The sequence below is a fragment of the Homo sapiens genome, chromosome 5, assembly GCF_000001405.40.
Source record: "Homo sapiens chromosome 5, GRCh38.p14 Primary Assembly".
In the NCBI taxonomy this organism is placed as follows: Eukaryota; Metazoa; Chordata; class Mammalia; order Primates; family Hominidae; genus Homo; species Homo sapiens.
In genome coordinates, this window is record NC_000005.10 from 116487823 (window position 1) to 116507595 (window position 19773).

The 19773-nt window shown below is 40.0% G+C and overlaps 1 protein-coding gene across 8 annotated transcripts in view, besides 1 other annotated feature; it reads right to left on the minus strand.

Annotated features, from left to right (window-relative positions):
* The window catches only part of SEMA6A (semaphorin 6A), a 131269-nt gene that overhangs the window by 44268 nt on the left and 67228 nt on the right, over positions 1–19773 (minus strand). For 7 of the 8 annotated variants that reach the window (XM_005272042.5, NM_020796.5, XM_006714663.3 and 4 more), the window contains exons 2-9: positions 17023–17160; positions 14388–14505; positions 9505–9565; positions 8429–8491; positions 7591–7692; positions 3918–4008; positions 1066–1185; positions 286–374 (exon numbers count right to left, since the gene is read on the minus strand). In XM_005272042.5, coding sequence (XP_005272099.2) covers positions 286–374; positions 1066–1185; positions 3918–4008; positions 7591–7692; positions 8429–8491; positions 9505–9565; positions 14388–14505; positions 17023–17122 — 744 coding nt within the window. In that variant the 5' untranslated portion in view covers positions 17123–17160. The other variant, XM_047417452.1, reaches the window with a different exon arrangement.
* Positions 172–1371: an enhancer, noted in NCBI's record as "CDK7 strongly-dependent group 2 enhancer chr5:115823690-115824889 (GRCh37/hg19 assembly coordinates)". NCBI's record gives its function as "activates an origin of replication core promoter dependent on BRD2, BRD4, P300/CBP, MED14 and CDK7 cofactors, with strong dependence on CDK7, by STARR-seq in HCT116 cells {active_cell/tissue: HCT116}" and the evidence as "EXISTENCE:reporter gene assay evidence [ECO:0000049][PMID:35650434]".

Consider the following 19773-nt stretch of genomic DNA (forward strand, 5'->3'; position numbering starts at 1 on the left):
CACTGCACTCCAGCCTGGGCAACTGAGTAAGACTCCGTCTCAAAAAGAAAAAAAAGATACTTGAATCTCAGCATGAAACCAACCAAACATAAATTTTCCATAGAAATACTTAAGAAATTTCCTGCGATTTCGTTACTGTTCTGAAACAGCAGATAGGGCCTCCAGACCGCACTCTGTTATTAGATTTATGGCTCTCATTTCAAGATCATTTATAACAACATTTGACCAAAGGTGTGGGTTTCTGAAAATGTTACAAACTGAGCCAAGGACAGCATCCCCTCTTACCTTTCCCATGGTGTTATACTCCACTGCTATTTCCCTGAAGAAGAAGTAGATATAATCTCCGTAATCCACGGCTTGAACAAAGTATGGTTCTGTAGACAAACAGGCACTTTAATTGGGAACATGTCAAACAGAGTTAACAGAATTTCAATCAAGTGTAGCCAAAGACATGTTATTAATTAAAAGTGTAGCACCATTAGACATTTGGTTAACACTAACCATTTCAAATGACTTCACACATGCAAGTGCTGGTGATTTCACAAGGCATTCACACTTACACATTATCTCTTTCAGAAGCTTTGCAATCAACAATGAAGAAATATGGAATTTTGCATATCTCTGTAATTTTATTTTCCACAATGGAATGCCCCTATTACAGAGAAGATTTTGTATACATTGCCTTGTCACCCTGACTCATACAGGGTTGTGAATAGCTTTTCTCCTCTTCTCCACCACCTCCAAGCCCCTGTCCCCTTCCATGAATACATTGTTCAGTTCTTTTCATGCAGAACTCAGAAATGAGAGCTTGAAGCAAGAAAACATGAATGTAATGTATTCTATTGTTGTGGCATTGGTAGTTTTGTTAATACTCCAGAAACTCAGGGGAAGGAAAAAAGGGAGGTAAATAAATCAGTTGAAGCCAAAGATGCAATTTACATGTTTCTGTCTGTCAGAAGCCATTACTCAAATGAAGATACAGTCTGGTCCCTCCAGACTCTAAATCTCCCACAAGATGTGTATTCCCCTCCCCTCCGACCCTCCTTCTTTTAATTGTTTGTTCACCTTTCAACCATTTTGAATCGTGCTTGACGGTCCGCAGGGTAGGGCTTTCTCCAAGACTCCGGTAAATGACTGCGTCAATGGCAAGGAAGTCAGTCACTGTGGCTGAGTATAGTTTTCCATCTTAGAAGAAAAAGAAAAGAGGTGAACAGGGTGGGAGCAAGTCAGTGGGGGTGGAGGAATAATAAAGACATCCCCTAGATTGCTTTCCAACATCAGGCAAATGAGATAGCACAACTGGGAAAAATCCAAGAGTCGCTGGGAAAACTCTTGGCCCACATTCCTAACCATTTTAAATTGGGATCATGAGAGATGAAACATTTTTCATTTTAAAATTGCATGGCAATTTTTTTTAAGCGGCAGCAGCAGCAGCAGCTCAGGGAACAGGGTAGATGAAAGATGTCTGCTTCACTTGATTAGCTGGACCTTGACTGAAACCTCAAGGCCAAGGATCCTTGGACACTACTACTGCCACCACACCATGGTAAACTGGATTAGGTGAGAGCCCAGGGAAAGATAGATGCTGATTGTGTCCCCAGAAATTTTAGGCACATGCATAAGTAAAGAAGTCCTCAGCCTGATCAGGTGAGAGAAGTTGAAGAGAGAGGGTTCATAAGCAAAAACGGGCTGACTAAATTGCTACTGTCCTGAGAGTAACAGCTCCTCTTGACCTCAGGCTTGACAGTTCACTAAACCCTCGCAATCTGGTTTCAATAACAGGTATTTGCTTCCGCATCTCCAAAGTCACAAACTAAAAACATTCCGAAACACAGCTTGGCTAAAGCCAAGAAGAAAGGGGAAGGGGTTACGCTGAGTTCAAATAGGTCTTTCTTTAGTAATTCATGCTTTGGGGGAGATACGATTGAGGGTAGATCCCAGGCATAAGAGAATAAAGCAGACTGAAGATTAGTCTCTAGACCTTTTTGGTTCCTTCCTGGCTCAGCAAACACTCTGCCAACAAATAATCAAAAGGGGTGTTCTAGAATAGCAAAATCTATGTTGATTACATGGAAACAAGAATTATATTCAAAATAAAAAAATTACTTCCGTGATTCACTTTTAGTGGATTGCAGATATTCATTAGTTGTATGTCAAAGTGACTTACATACAACATAGTACTGTTCAAGCTCTTTTATATGTAGTGTAAACATAATGGTTTATTGTTTTGTTTGTTTTAAAAAAACTCATATCCAAATATATTTAAACAAAGATCTCGATGTCTGTCTTTGGTCTTAAAATAATTAAAATTTGTCCAGGTTCAATTTAGAGATGTCTTAATATCTGCAATATTAACAGCTATATATCAATAAGTTTTGGTAGATTTAAACTGCAGAGAGCAAACCTTTAAATTGGCCCAAAAAATATCTACGAATCATAACTTTTCTTATGGATTTTGAGCCCCAGGTCATAAAGACATTCTTTATATAAGACTATAGAATATGTATTCTATATTCCTATAGCCCCGCCTTGGCCTCCTACAGTGCTGGGATTACAGGTGAGAGCTACCACTCCTGGCCCTACAGTTAAATTTAAATTCTCCCCTGCAGCCCACATTCTCCAAGGCCCCAACTAATGCAGGTTCCAAGTGTCAGTGAGGACCTCCAGCAGTAGTCATGTACTTGGGAGTATGCTCAAGTACTCTTTCCACTAGCCTTGCTCATACCTTACAAATAGGTCTACAAGACTTTGTATTCTTGACGGAACTGCTTCTCAGTAATCCTGTGCTCTCATTTAGGGGGAGAACCCGAGGAACCTGCCCTTCTTAACTTGACAATCTATCACTGCAGATCCAGGCCCACAAATGAATGACACTGAGGGAGAGGTTCAGGAAGCCAGGAACTAATCTTGTTTCATAATCAAAGCCCTAGGGTCCCTCATCCAGCTAGTATGTGCCAGTTTTTAGCTGTTGTGATGGAAATTATAGCTAACTGCTTTATTACAAGCTATAAGAATCACTATTATACCAACACTTCTCTTACACCCACCTCCACATACACAGCTGGTAATGAATTCCTAAATAAATTTCTAATTAAAGCACACAAACTCATACACAAAAATCCCACTACATCTGAAAATGATGGTCTGTTTGCTATTTCTTTATATCTTTTGCAGTGGAAAGAAGGAGTAGTGTTGGGGAGTAGAGGTCAGCCTAAGCAATTAGCACCCTCCCCTCACCCACCATAGTCTTTTGGTCAGAGATGGGTGTGTAACCTAATCAGGTCAATGATATTTGAGAAGATGTTTGTTGGAAGCTTGGGGGTATGTGGCCTCATTGCTCTGAGAGAGCTTCCAGAGGCTTCCTTTTGTTTCTTTCCCTTTCTTTTCTATATGTGGACAGGAAGACATGTAGCCCTAATTGGGGCTGGCAGTCATCCTCTGACTGTGAGAACCACCAGTCTCATCATGAGGTCGACATAGAGCATGGGAATGAAAAGGAGCTGCCTCCCGGATGACACTGTTGAGTTGTTGAACCTAGCCAATCCCAAAGTCCATCCTACCTTAAACAATAAAGGCACATCAGTAGGGGATTTTAAATTTAATTTTTTTTTTTTACATTGGTGGTTTGAGGTGGGATTTTCTATTATTTGAGCCCAAACATTCCCTAACTGATCCATCACATGTTCAGCGCTATGCTGTTATCCTTTCCTGAAGGCACAAACACATGGGTAAGTGAAGCAAAGACTTGCAAAAGTACAATTTTCATACTAATTTCAAACAGAAAGGCATTCTTAATTACAGTATTCACCAGAGAATCAAAGCACAACTGTGACTCCACGAATCCTCTAGAGCAGATTCACAGTGACAGGATGAAACAAGCAAAAGCAAGTGCAACGAGGAGAAATCAGGTCGCTTACCTGCAAACAGTGCAACGTTGGCATGTTTGGCATCATATGGGCATCTGGCCATTCCGCTGAATTCATCCCCGAATGGTTCCAATGTATCCATCTAAATGAAATAATCAGACTTAATTACAAACAACAACCTTTTCTTTTGCCCTAAACCCTCAGAAATAATTTCCAGGATGTGACAGGCCTTTTGTAATCTGTAATCACTTTGAGATGGACCCTGTTGAAGCCACTTTTAAACTGTAGTTGAGAATCACATAAAATAGCTGTGTTAAAAACATATTTTTAGGGGAAAGATGGTCAAATCAGACATTCTTTCAAGCAGTGTACTCTTCCACCCAGCACATTTTTTTATGAAAGTCCTTTTCAGATATTTTATACCAACCAAGAGCTTTTTGTTGAACTCTGACAGACTCTGTGGTCTGTGGGTCTGGCATGTATTCAAAAATGATGCTTAGCACACAGTGATGCAACGGAAATGCCCTTATCCTAAGCTGTGCACGCTCTAATCCTAGCAAGGAGGAAACAATAGACAAGGGGTATATGGTTTTCTTTATAATGTAACTAACCTAAAAAAAAAAAAAAAGTGGCTATACCTATAGCTGGTCAAAGGCAAGAAGTAGTGAAGTACAAATGTTTCGGTTTGTGAGGTTGGAAAGGTCCAGAGGCAAAAGCCATGGTGACTTCCTCTTTCCAAGAAGTGAAAACTAACCCTTGAAGCAGTCATCAAATCTTAGACTTCACAGCAGCAGCTCCTGGGAAGTTAAACAGCTATCAGGTACAGATAATTATACAAAGACCCAGCCTGATTTTTGCAGAAGTTCAAAAGGTTTAGAGAATAGGAGGAAAAAGGCAGGGAGTGCACTTTTAGATTTATAGTGGGTAGCCTTCAAAGCTCTCCCCTAGATAATCTTGATAATCTAATTTGGGGCTATAACCTTTCTAACACATTCAGCTTACTTGTGTTATAAAAATTAATATAGATCAGGGCATGGTAGAGAGGCAGATACTGAAAATTTGTCACTCTCTTGCTTCATGTCACTCTAATCAACTTGATGCTTGTGTGCTATGATAAGACTTGGGTTTTTCACTGGAAGACTGGTCATTGTTTTCACTTTGAACCTTTGTCCTGATCTGTTGATAAAAAGCACTTAAGACAGAAGCTGTCGTTTTCCCTGCAGCCAAATACATTATGTCCCATATCATCAGCAATGTCACACTGTCCCCTGAGTCTAAAAATACACTTTTCTGAGCAATGCCAAGGGTTCTTACTACCATTCACAGCGCTAGGCATATTGTTGGGAACTGAGCATGAGCAACATCCCATCTGTGGCTTCTGAGAGGCCTGGGCTACTGGAGCATGTCTCAGCAGGTGTGGCAAGAACAAGCAAGAGGTGACGGCATTATTATAAGTGTAGAATCATGGGAAATGGAACATGTACAGGAAGAATAAGCCAGACCATTCATGGCCTGTATATTACTGTGCCAAGAAAACCTGTACTTTGTCATAAAAGATAGCTTTCCATCTAGGGAATTCCTTGGGATTTGTTAGAAGCATTAATCTTAATGAGTCCTAAACAATGACAAACAGGGATGGAATATTAAGTGGTAAATTAAAGTTGAAACCTTATCTGTATGCTGTCACTAGCTAGAGTAAATGCTGGGCTAGACTGGCTACCTCTATTATAAACTGATGAATCTTGTCTTTATACTTAAAAACTTGATCTTTGGTTTATGACAGACCTGTATGTATTAATTAATTTTGATTTTTAAAAAATATTGCATTAAAAATCTAACATCTTAATTACGGAATTTTTTGGTGAACCCTTCTATTTTGTGCCTGAGCCACATGCCTCACTTGCTCCACCCTAATCCTGGCCCTGTTGGTGCCCATTTCCAAGTGTAAGATGGAAGATAAGTATGAGGGTCAAACAGACCCTCCCTTCACTGTACATGCCAAAAAAAGACAGGGGGTTTTTCTGGTGAGCTTGTTGGTGCGGATTCCAGCCTATCATTGCTTTTCTCATTCTTCCCACTCCTAGGGTTTCACTTTATGATGATGAAACCCAAATCTATATTTCTCTCCACATCTGTCTCTAAACCAAAGCTTACTGATCCATCTTCTTGCTAGATAGCTCTATTCATGTCCTATAGGCAGTGCCGTTCACAGTGCTTGGCATTCTCATACTGTGCAAAATGGAGCCCATACCTTCACACTCCCCCAACCCCCAACCCCAATCTCACAACTCTTCCTTTATTTCCTGTCTGAATTGGTGGCAGCCCCATCCATCTACTCGCCAAGAGATGGCCTAGCAGTCATTCTTGACTCACCTCTCTCTCTCTTTATCCTGTGCTTATCTATTATTAAATCCTACCGGTTTGGTTTTATCTATTCTCTTCCCTTCATCCCTGGGGCTATCTACATCTCCAGTTTTTTCTGTTAACACTTGTCATTTCACAGTCACACAATTCAGAATCAAATGAGATTTCTCAAGCTCAATAGGCCATTTCTTACTCCATGCCTTTGTTCATGCTGTTCCCTGCTAACTGGAATGCTTTTCTTCCTTCATTTGGCTAACTTCTCCTTACCCTTTAAGACAAAGGTTAGGCATTGCCTCATTCAGTGCTTTACAAAAATTAATTAAACGCCTGTTTGGGAGGCACTATGTTAGGTTCTGGAGAATCACAGATGTGATCCCTGCCCTTGTAGAGCCTGTGTTTCTTAAGGGCGGTGGTATTTGTGTTCCCGATGTGGGAACAACAGGTAGGAAAGTTTGAAGACACGGGGTCATCCTCTGAAGCTTTCCCAGACTCCTCACCTCATGCATGGCAGGAACTTTTGTGTTGTGCTTCCATAATCCATTGCATGATGTCACCATGGCAGCAACCCCATGAAATTGTTGTTTTCTTCTCCCTGCCTGGCTTCCCTAAGGGTTGAGGCCTCCTGTCTGTCTTTACAACCTCAGCGATGGGCCACAGTAGAAACACAGTACATGTTTCCTGAGACAAAGGCTGGCAGAAAGATGTACAAGGAAGGCTAACAGTGGTGCAGCCAAGACCTCAGATCACTGCCACCTCTGCTTCCAGGCCTGGCGAGGTCCCTGCTCCTTCATCAGCACCTCTGTTAGCTGCATCAAAACCAGCTAGATTTACTAACTCTTTAAGAGGGCTTTTTCCAGCCCTTGCATAAAGCCAAAGTAAGCAAGGCCGTGGTCAAGAAAGCTGAGTGCTCAATGGAATTAAATTCCTGTGTTCTTGTAGGAAAGTCTACGGTTTCAAATGCCGTGCTTTTGAGATACCTTTTAGAATAGAAATCACTCACCATATAAGTGTGCTTTTGTGCTCAGAGGTTAGATAGTGGGGTGGGAGGGAGAAAAAAAATAGAGGAAATCCACATGGTGTACGTGGTAAGTATGTCAGTCTTCTGAACAATAGAGAAAAGGGTCTTACAGAAACTAACTTTGCTAGGCAGGCTCTTTAAAGATGTGTCAATCAATCCTGAACAAACAGGAAGCTTAGAAGCCTGCTTAGGATCACTCATGTGGAGCAATACATTAAGTTGAACAAGTGAGAGGAACTCAGGTGGTGTTGAATTACCCCTCTTAGGTTGCTGCAGGTACAATCACAGTAAATTATGAAATGCCTCCTGGCAGTGTGGTTCCAACCGACAAATAGCATTTACCTTATAGTTTCTGCAGGAAGGGTTGAAGGCATTAGTTCCACAGACAAACAATGCATCATCGTTTTTCTTTAGAAGAACTTTAATAAAGTTGTGGCACTCATCCTGAAAAATAATTCAAACTGTTTTGTATCATGTCCATTCAGTACAGAAACTGATTCTTCACTGTATGCCATGGTTGGCTGACAGTAAGGTTAAAGTGGAGGTGGCTGAGGACTTCTCCCATTAAAAGTTCAAGTTCTTCCTGATGTTAACCACAAGATGATGCCGACATCAACGATTACTCTTTCAACGTAAATAAAAACAAAGCATAGAATGGAAGATTGTGTGTTTATTTTATGTCACAAAAGGAAGGCAAGCCTGGAAATGCCAACCTCCCATCATATTAATTTTAATGCCAGATGCTCCAGCGTTCCCTGATGTACAAAGCTGCTGGTTGAAGTGTGTTTTTATGTTGTTATATGACCACAGGCACAAAACCCTGCATGTCTGCGGCAGCCTTTTATGAGCTCTTCCACAGACTCCCTGTGGGCCTTGGACTGCGGAGGTGGGCATCGGCGTACACTCAGAAGACAAGACTCTGGGCAGCCGGCTTTGTGTCCATAATCCTGTGTGCGCCTAAGTAGTTCATGATGCAGGCCTAGCAGCTGTTGTAATGTTTCATCACATTAAAAGCAAACTATTTTTGCAAATTAAAGCCTTCAGTAAGTTGATGAAAAAAGCAATTACTGAGGGAAAAAGGAAAAAGCACAATCCATTCTACATCACGGTCTATGGCTGGAGATAACAGTCAAAAACTTAACCCAAAGTGGCAGCTGCAGGAGAAATGAAAATTGCCTACCTTATGTTTTCCCTTCATTCTGCATGTGTCTACATCGGCCTGTCTAGATTTCCATGTCAGTTTCTGCAGGGATCAAGAAAGAAATCAATTAGAGCCCAGAGGTTGTTGCGTTTGATTTTAGAAGTAAGAGTTCCCTTGGGGAGACTAAAGGCTGAACATATATTTATTGAAAGCTTTCTGCACCCTTTCTCCATGATTAATTCACCGTAACAACAAAAGATTCCAGATGAAAACGTCCGTTTAATTTTGAACTCCTATCTATTCATTAAACCACAAAATGGTCTTCTTCTGTTTGAGATAAAGATGAAGGAGAAAAGAAAGAAGAATAAACAAGAGTGTGGAAATTTTTCATAAACTATCCAAATTAATTTGCCAAATTATGCTCATTTGGATAAAATATATGTCCTTGCCCTTTCCTTTCAGTTGATAAATCAATTTTTATAAAGAAGGCTTTTTTCTTAAAATACAGAAGTCATTTTCTTAAACATAAAGAGGACATTCACTCTAGGTGGACAAAGATTTAATTCAGGTTATACTCCTTCACATAGATTAATGGACTGAAGGGATCTTCTACTCCTATGGCACAGGTTTTATTAACTAAAATATCCCCATGTGGAGTTATGAGGAAAGCTTAGGTTATACTTTATGTCTGTCTGAAATGGGTAACGATCAAGTTCCTGAACCACAGCAGTCAAATCAAACTTAATACTGCAAGACATGGAAATATAACATTGAAACCTTTGTAGAATACATTTGTGGAACAAAATTTTACTTATGAAAACTGATGTTTTCCTGGATAAATGAGGCAATATTTTTATAAAAGAAATGTAGAAATTATGTAAAACTTCAAAATGTATATGTACACATATATTTGATGAATAAAATATGAAGTACATAACTGTTTCTGAACATGTATCAAATCCTAACCTATTCCCTAATTAGGATTTCACAAAATGCATGTTGGCATCTCTAAATTATGATTAGCTACATCATCTTAATGCACTTAAAATACATATTCTGTTCAAGAACTATCCAAAGGTCCTTCATTTTACAAATATAGTTTTAAAACAACTTACTTTGCTACAATAAATTTCTTCCGTGTGTGATGTGTCTATATCAACAGTATAAATATGGTCCCTATAGGCAAAGAAAAATTAATACAAGGTCAAACACAGAGTCAAAACAGTTCATTTTCTGCTTAATGAGTTATGTCTTATCAGGGCAGATAAGCCCATATCCATGTTCATGATATCCACATGCAAGAAGAAAAGAGCGCAGCCTTCAAGAGATGTCTCCGGATCCCATTTAGCACCTTCTGATAAATCATGGCATTGTGCTCCAAGGAACACCGTTTATGAAAACTTTCCTGTATTAGCTCTTCTCTCTGACACTAGAACTATAGCATCTGCATATATGTAGCTCAGAAGGGAGGGCTCTGAAAGTTAAATTGGCCCAAAGACTAGAACACAGATGGATTCGTGTGCCCTTTCATTATCTTCAAATACACGTACCAAATACTTGGTATTCAACATGCCACATCTGTTCATCAAGAGGGCTAACAAAAAAAATGATCTCCATCGCCCTCTCTCTTTTGAAAATATATTTCCATCTTAACTGTGACTATTTGATCGACAGGATGGATGACGACAAAGGTAAAATTATTTCCAGAAGCCACTCTTTTCCCTCATAATGATGGTCAATTAAAGTCTAAAATGTACTTAAGCTAAAGTTTACATTTCTTGCTTCTGTTCACCTTCCTGTTTTGCTGAGAATTGGGTTGTCTTTACAATTTGCTGCCAATCTAGCCTTGGAAGGGGAGAAAGAGAATCAGCAGCTCAGGTGTGGGGCTATATTTAAACATCCCCTTCTGTGTGAGCTGAGTACAAGGGCGTTTTTGTCTGGAATTTGTAAGAAAGAAAAGAAAAGAACTACACTCAACAGAGGAGATGGGGGGCTACTGAGGGAAAGCAAAACAGCTCATTTTCCCTTGAAATAACATTGACTTTCTCTAAAATGCAGGAAGTCCTGGGGCTGAAAAATTACCCACAGCTTTAAACCAGGACCTCGTCTCCCATACAGACTTTTAAGTCCCCTCGTTACTTAAAAGAAAGAGCGGGGAGGTGATAAGAAAGGAATTATTTGCAGGATTCACATATACATATATATAATTTTTTTCAGTTCATGGGAAATCTGTTTGCTTTTTGTTTTAGGAAAAATACAACAGAGAAAGATAACAGGCCGACTCACGTGAATATAAAACGAGCGGGAAGGGCAGTTGGCTTAGAAAATTCCCTTGCCAGCTACTGTGAGTGTGCATGGGGGGAGGGGGTGGAAGGGGGTGGAAGGGCGTGGTAAGGGGTGGAGGAGTAGGGGCCTGTTTTGTAAATTGCTGAATAGGCAAGTTTCTTCAAACTTCAGTAGGCTGCCAGAATCACCCTGCCCTTTAATTTCAAGGCAGTTTTATTGCATTTGTTTATTACTTGCTTGACTTTATTGGTGGTGCTGTGGTCAGACTCATTATTGGAATGGAATTGCCTATTACTTTGCTATCAGGTTTGAGATGACTCGAGGCTTTTCCTTGCCTGCCTCCCCTCAGAACTTAAGTTTGAGCTGAACATATGAATTGTAAATGAACAACTGATTAATATGCATTGGCAGCTCCTCAGAAAGCTCTCAGATTGCCCCCTTTTGGCATGGCCTGTTTATGTTAATTAGCAGTTTAGAGATTAAAAAAGAAGAGGAATTTACAAAGTGGATAATAATAAAGCAGAATTGAAAGGGGTTCTTGCCACCAACCCTCACTCAGTCCCCCGGGTTCTGGATGGGACTTGGCTTGCGATTGCTGACAGCAATTGTCTAGAAGAACTGGGAAGCCTTTTAAACACAGAATTCTGTGAATGAAATCTTCTTTTGGACAATGACAATCTTTTTCAATATCCAAAAGCTCACATGGCCCTAGCAAATAAAAATGGTGCTTTATGGTAAACCACAGACCAGGGTCAGGGGTCATTCCCAACCATCTTAGTGTACATCCCAGGTCTCATATGCTGTTCTTCCTGAATTAAGTTATTTGAACATAAACTGACTTAATCCTAGGACTTCCTCTTCCCCCTCCAGCAAGCACCACTGAATTGTGTTGCCATGGCTTGAACCTGGGCGGGCGGGGGTTGGCCGGGGGGTGGGGTGCGGGGAGGGATTTAGCTTTAAATCGTGTTACTTGCTGCCTAGAAACCTAGATCTCTCAGAGCAATGTTGAGAAGTGTAAAATTAAAGTGAATTAAAGTTGGAAGTGTAAAAATAAAGTGTAAAATTAAAAGGAGAGAAGAGGTCCTAAATATGGTGGGCATGGAACTCCTTTAAGAATTTTTCTAAGGTTGTCTGTTGAGAGGAAGTGGCTGCGTATGGTGTGAAAACAAACATGTCAATGCTACAGTGATACAAACTTGACCTTTAGTAAAGATGAGCTTATTTGATAGTTTCAAATATTAGTGTGTTTCTTCTTTTTATCCTTCTTTTCCTTTCCTTCCTTGGGGTGAGGAGTTAGAATAAAACTGTCTTGGTTTTAATGAGCTAGACTAATGGTCACTTTTAAGTCTGCATAGTACCTTGCTCCTAACACTCATGTAGCCCTGGGACCTATGGTCCACGCCCTGCTAAATCATCGAGTACAAGGGCAGTCTGTTATACCATTTTTTCCCCCGGAAACTCAACTGGAAAGTGAACAATTCACAAGAGATTCTTAAGTCAACCTATTTCTCACAGATTCAATGTTTTATCATTTGTTTTGATCAGCCCTTAGATAATTGAGTATGTCATTTTCCAACCCTATTACGTTTAGGAAAATAAAAATGACATCTAAGAAGGAGCTGGTATTCTATCAGAGAGGTGACTACTGAGCATCTTATGGAAATGCTTTATAATGGCTACTCATAATGACCATGTTCTTGGGCAACAGCTATTACAAGGGTATTCTCAGGACAAACAGTACCAGCTCTATTCCTCAGTATGCAGCATAGTACAGGGAATGACAGCATGGACTCTAGAGCGAGACCATCCTGGTTCAAATCCTGCCTCTGTCATTTTGGCCCCATCATTTCACCTATCTGTCCCTTGGATTCCTCCTATAAGACATGGGAATAATAATAGCTCCTTCTTGTAGGGTTGTTTCCAGGATTGGATGAATTGACATTCATAAAGAATCTACAGCTATGTTTGTGAATTGTATGTGCAGAGCATACTAGTTGTATATACTGTATAAGTATTTGTAAAGTAAAACTTTAGGAAAGTATTTGGACATTGCTTCCTGTAGCCAAGTTAGGGGCAGTTTCAGGATGTTTTAGTCTAGCCCCTTTTTTTTTTAACTTTATGTTGCACAGCTTATCACCTCAGAACATCTAAGTGCTTTAGAAGAATCAACCACTGTTATTTACTTGTTCTTTCCTTATGCCAGATAGAAACGATCTCCAATTCTAGACCGGGCATGGTGGCTCACACCTGTAATTCCGGCACTTTGAGAGGTCGAGGCGGGTGGACCACTTGAAGGTCAGGAGTTTGAGACCAGCCTGGCTAACATGGTGGAACCCCATCTCTACTAAAAATACAAAAATTAGCTGGGCGTGGTGGCGGGCACCTGTAGTCCCAGCTACTCAGGAGGCTGAGGCAGGAGAATTGCTTTAACCCTGGTGCGGGGGAGGAGGTTGCAGTGAGCTGAGATCGCGCCACTGCACTCCAGCCTGGACGATGGGAGTGAAACCCTGTCTCAAAAAAAAGCATAATCTTCATTTCTTCTCCCCAGTGTGAAATGATTAAACAGTGTAGAGCCAGGAAAGACCACAGGGGACACTACAAGATAGTGCTCCATGTTGCTGTTCATTTGGAATTATTTTGAATAGCTACACACTCCCAAAATGGAGGATCATATATTGTTGGACTCCTTAGGGACTTCATTAAGGTAATCAAATACAACATCTCATTTGGCAGAGGATACTTATGGCCAGACAACTTGTGGTCCGGCTAAATTAAGAGCAGAATTATAACAAAAGCCTAAATTTATGTGATCCCTGTTTGAGCCGTATTCTTACCATGCCATTCAGCCTTAAGACATCAGCCTGTCTGTCTAAATAACATTTCCCCAATGGATGAGTATTTTTTTTTTACTAAAACCAAATAAAAACCTTCTGAAATATATATAATGCTTTCTTTGGTTGTCATTGCCGTTCTTTCAAAGTGATGATATAGATTATCAATGATATATATGTTAACTGCAAAAATACAAATAGGTTTAATGCACACACCTACATTCACACTATATAATACATGTTTACACATTCACCTTAATTTAACAAATAAGTATTAGGCCAGATGAAGTGGTTCATGCCTGTAATCCCAGCACTTTGGGAGGCCGAGGTGGGTGAATCACCTGAGGTCAGGAGTTCAAGACCAGCCTGACCAACATAGTGAAACCCTGTCTCTACTAAAAATACCAAATTAGCCAGGCGTGGTGGTGCATGCCTGTTACAACAGCTACTTGGGAGGCTGAGGCAAGAGAATTGCTTGAACCCAGGAGAGGGAGGCTTCAGTGAGCTGAGATTGCACCACTGCACTCCAGCCTGGGCAACAAAGAACGAAAACTCCATCTCAAACAAACAAACAGAGTATTAAGGAGCAGAGCATTCTAATGGGTGCTTGAATAAATATTTGCATATATGTTCAAGATAAACAGTGGATTATTTGAGTGTAAGTGCCCAAATATGCTATTATTTCTATTTAAATCCACATAGGGTTAAACAGACACAGACAATTTTGAAATAATGATTGCTTGATAAGTTAAAGGAGGCTTTAAGTTAAATAACACTCTATTTAGAAACCTCAAGATCTTAAAAATAATGCATAGCTGGTAAATTTAGGACCTTGGGCTTTTGGACACTCTCAAGGCAGACATGGGGAAAAGGCCCCTTACCTAGCAGCAATGTAGAGGGTTCCGTTCATGATCATAATCATCTGGATGTCCAGCCTGTGCCTCTGTGTGGTGTTCCGTCCTGGCTTGTGGCCCACAAACACCGGATACTGTTTTGTATCTGTGAAAAGAGGAGATGGGGCAAGAAAGGAAAAGCAAATCAAGCCAGGAATTGACAGGGTAGGGAGGGGAGGGAGACAGGTCACAAAAGAAACCCGTGTTTAAGTCAGACCATGCCACCATTTTCCATTTCCATATGAGTCTGTTATTTTAGGAAATATGATAGAAGAGTGCTCCTTAAGGTTCATCAAGTTACACTTTCATTTCTAGATAATTATAAGCCTGGATTTATATTTCTAAGTGTCACAATTTTTGATTTGTCTCTCTTTCTCAGGGCTCAACTCGCTAGTGAACCCTTTGCATGAAGGTGCTCTTTTCTTCCACAGTTTTCTTTTCATCTTCTGTAGAGCTAAGCCTGAGGGGGCAGTCTGCCAAAGATCTTGTCTCGGGACAAAACTATTTCAAAGCAGCCTTCCCATCAATCACCACAAATGCAATGTGGTCTGGAGGCGAGAGCCCTTGTCCAGGAGCCAGAAGAAAAATACAGTCTCCACAGGCGTCCAGTTGGAATAATCCACTATTGAAGGCAGCCCCTGAGAGGTTGGTTGGCATTCTAGGAACTGTGGGAAGTTCACCCTTGAGTTAAGCAATTGGCTAACAATTTCACAGAGATGTGGGCTTTGACAGGACAGGGTCAAACTGAGTGTAGCCAGTCAGGTGATCTGAAATTTTCCCTGACTTGGTGAGTCAATGAGCATATTTCTCTTTTCCTACACTTCTCTTTGGCTGAGAGTGGCCAATCTGTATTGAGATCTGGCCTTTAAAAATACCTACATCTCAACATCTCTGCCTTTACACCTACGATCTCCAGAGCACTGGCGAGCCTCCAGACAAACTCAGGAGGAAAGAAAGATGAGCCACATTTAAAAGGCACTTGTTTTCTGGAGAGGGGTGGGGGTGTAAATGATGACTAGAAAACCATTCACAGATTTATGCTTCGACCCTCACTTTACACCCTTGTAGTATCTGACCATTACTCACAGTGGGTATCTTATCAGGAGCCTTACTATATTTTATTTACAAGGGAGCTTGGTATAAGACAATCTTGTGCTTTCCCTTCCACTGCTTTGAAATTTCATGTACCCATTCATCAAGGAGATTGCTAAAACAACTCAAATGTCTCTACGATCATGGATTTGAGTGATCACTGAAGGGTGGCTTACAGTAGTCCATTTGGGCTGGAGTCCCTTCTTTTTTTTTTTTTGAGACAGAGTCTCGCTCTGTCATAAGGCTGGAGTGCAGTGGTGTGATCTCGGCTTACTACACTCTCCGCCTCCCCAGTTCAAGGTATTCCGCTGCCTCAGCCTCCTGTAGCTGGAACTACAGGCATGCACCACCATGCCCAGCTGATTTTTTTTTCTTTTGTATTTTAGTAGAGACAGTTTTCACCATGTTGGCCAGGATGGTCTCCATCCTCTGACCTCATGATCCGCCCACCTCGGCCTCCCAAAGTGCTGGGATTACAGGCGTAAGCCACCGCGCCCTGCCCTGGAGTCCCTTCTATACTCGGGCATCCAAGACAGAAAACTTACCTCAAATGGAAATAAATAAATGTTTATTAAGTTTGGAACCTTGAGTTAGGTGGACTCTGCTATTTCAGGAATGATGAACTTGAACTACACATTTGGTCTTAATAATGCCCTTTGACTCTGGACTCTAATTGTTTTGTGTGTCAGTTTTGCTACCTCATTTTCTTCCAACCCAGAAAGAACAGCTGAACACTGGGCATATTTGGATCTCCTTAGTATTGCATATTAATGTTAGACACCTTTGTATGGCTCACTCAGTGTTTGTTTTGGGGTCATTACTATGAAAAGAGATATTTAGGAAAAAAATGCTCTCTTACATTTTTACTGTAATAAAATACTTAAGCCTTTTGAAGGGCATGAAAAAAAAGTGGTAAATTGAATGTTCCATCCAACACATAGGCAGGACTCTCCTCTTTTGAGGAGACAGCTGAATTCTTAATCATGTTAGTATCTACTCCTGACAATGAAGCAGAGACCAAAGGAAAGTTATAAACAGTTAAAATGGGTCCTCTATAAATTAATTTCTCTTTACCAAAGTCTATTAACTATGTAACTTCTAAGTCCAAAAAAAATTTTTCTCTGAAGTACTCCAAAATGGTCATTACTTTTTGTTCATATTTTGCAACAGTCCGGATATATGAATTATATATAAAAGCGAGTAATACTGCCAATACCCAGATCATAGCGATATTCTCCCACAGAGCTGATTTTAAGGCATGAACACGGCAGCCTCGATGTAGTAGCTGAGACTTCATCAGGGTTACGAGGGGCGTTTCAAATCCTCACACGTGTCCCCACAACAACATCTGATGGAGTTATAGAAAAATCATCCTATCAATTTGACTAGACTTGAATTAGCCACCTTTGCCACATACAGAGGACTAATAAGTCACCTATTCTATTTCATTTTTCAGTTTTATTTTTTGCTAGGCTGATTCAGGCTAAAATGTTCTCAAAGGGAGACACTGAGTGAGACCATGGGTACTTACAGTTGCCATGCGAAATACTGATTGGCTCAGAATCTTCTGGGAAACCAGCCCCAGCAAAGTGTAGCAGTGTGAAATATAGCAGCAAGGCTTCTGACCTCATAGTAGTTCAGCGGGGAGACTTTATTTCTCTACTTCACCCTGCCAAAAAGTAAAGAACAGATTTTTTTCCAAGTCAGCTTTGTTCAATGCCATAAAATGAAATACCCTGAAAGATAAATTCGAGAGAAAAAAAGGCTTCTGCTTTACATCTTCTACATGGTAAATTCGTTGATTTTTGTGTTTGGAACTTGTACCCGTTACCTACTGCTACCTCCTTCCCCACGCATCTGAGCCCTTTTGCAAAGTTTCTCCAATATGGAACAAAGAGCTTTAGTTCCTTTATCCTGAGCCATCTTTAGGCTTTTATAGATGGCTATTTCACAGTCATGAAACTCTGCCTTCAAAATCACTCAGAAATTTGAGGTGACTGCCAATATTGAAAAATAGGAGATTTCTGATATTAATCTAGATTTTTCAGCTTCTTTGTAAAAATCAAAATACCTGCCATACTGACCTAAATGACAGTTTCCCTTTGGCACCACTTCCAACACACAGGTACACAGACACACGCACGCGCACACACACACACACACACACACACATCTATAACTCATCCTGTTTACTAATTTCCATTACCTGCTTGACTTCTTAATTGAGATATTCACCCCTGACTTATGTCATTCTACAGTGACTTAGGCATAAATAAATAAAATCACACAATCTATAAAGAGAAGTAGGCAGATCCTTTCACACTCTGAAGATTACTACAAGGAGAATCTGAAACTGCATTCTGAAACGGTATTGTTGATTTAAAAAGTCATATCTCTATATATTTTGGTCTCAATACTTCCTTGCAGTGAAATCGTAGTGAATAAAAATGTCAGATATACTGTTCTACCCATCTGTATTTTCTTGACGAAGCTCTTTATGTGCAGAAAAATTCTCCTAAATCTTGGAAATAAAAACAATCCCATGTGGGACTGCTGGATACAGTGAAAAAAAAAAAAAGACTCATAATACAGTAAATATCACTTAATTCTCAGGCATATTGCAAATAAGCATTGCTCTATCATGAAAATTAATGTAAAATGAGGATTTCTTTTCATCTTTCCAGAGCAGTAAACTCTTTGAAGTACCTGCCAAAGATTATCTTTTTTGAACAAAGCTATTTTACAGTAATCCATCAATCATTTAAGATTTGTGTGTAGAAATGTCAAACTTAGTAACCTAGATGTCTTTGAAAGTTAATTTGGCAAACTGCTAACTTACGCTTTTTGGAACACCATTTTGATTATATACCTATGTCTCTTTTCTTCATGCCAAGAAAGTATTAATCAGTCCCAAGTGTTGCACTGTAACTTATAATTTCACACACACAGCTGGGTCTTAATCATTTCTTCAATTGAAAAGTGCACATTAATTAATTTGCTTTATCTTGAAAATCAAAGAGGGAGACAGATTGAGAGAAAAGCCTAAACAATTCCATGTCTCCATCTCTGATGTGTACATTAAAATTAAACTTTAAATGATTACTTGTTCATAAGGGTGAACCATTATGAAGAGACATAAACATGTATTTATTAGACAGGTGAAAAGCAAGAGTCTACTCATTCATTTATTTGCCAGTTCTTCCTATCCTAGAAAATCTGAACTCAAAGGAAAGAAGCTCTGAAGTGCCCTGATTTGCTTCTCATGGCTCCTGTTCAGTACAGCATTAAAGGGCAGAAATAAATAACAAAAGTAAAACATAAACAAGACACCAGTCAGCTGTTAGATTTTAGGAGAGAAAGCATCTGGCGGGAGGGGGAGGGGGAGGGGTCAGGGAGAACTGGCAACTTTTACCAGGAGCTCAAGAATAGTATTATAAAGAAGCATATTGCCTCAGAGAATTTGCAGCATATAATGAAAGAAAGGAAACTCAAAAGGCTAATTCTCATTCCTTTAGAAATGTTTAGAGATGTATGTATGCTTTTAAGGCTTAATTTTTCTTGACATGACAAACGAGTCTCCATCCTTCAACAACTGCATTCATCTTTGTACAAATGTCCTATAAGCTAACAAGACAATGTCCTGCTACTTTATTATATCCCCCAATTTTAATTTTTTCCATCTTAAGATTGCATGTGTCAAATGCAAAATTCTCAACCCCAGAAGCTGGCAGGAAGAGCAATGCATGCAGAAGAAATCTGTTATGCAAGTCAGTGGCTATTCTGGCTATCCCTGCAGCCAGCATCATTTAAGTATCTCCAGGTTTACAGCAGGGCTCTCTGCCAGGAAAAATAGCTGTTTTATATGTCTTTCTATCATTATATCATCAGGTAGTTAACATGTACATCATACGGGTGAAAGTGCTCTGGAAGTATTGGTTAATCTTGGTCAGTCCACATGAACACTTTAAAATTTTCTTCAGTTGAAGTTTTGATGTATTATTCCCTTTCTACTCAATTTTGGGCCCTAACCCTTGTAAATATGTAGACAATAAATTTTCTTGTTGAAATGATTACTTTGCGGAGGGATCCCAATTCCATAACATTGTCATTTCTCATCCAAAGAACACAGGCTTGAGTCTCAGGATTCCTAAGATGACGCAATACAGACTTGCACCAGCCCAGGAGAACAAAAACCAGAACTTAACACTGAGTTTATAAACCTTGAGTGAGCAGTGTTGCTGCAATTTAAGAGGCTGTTTAAGTCACTTTCAAAACTTTGAAA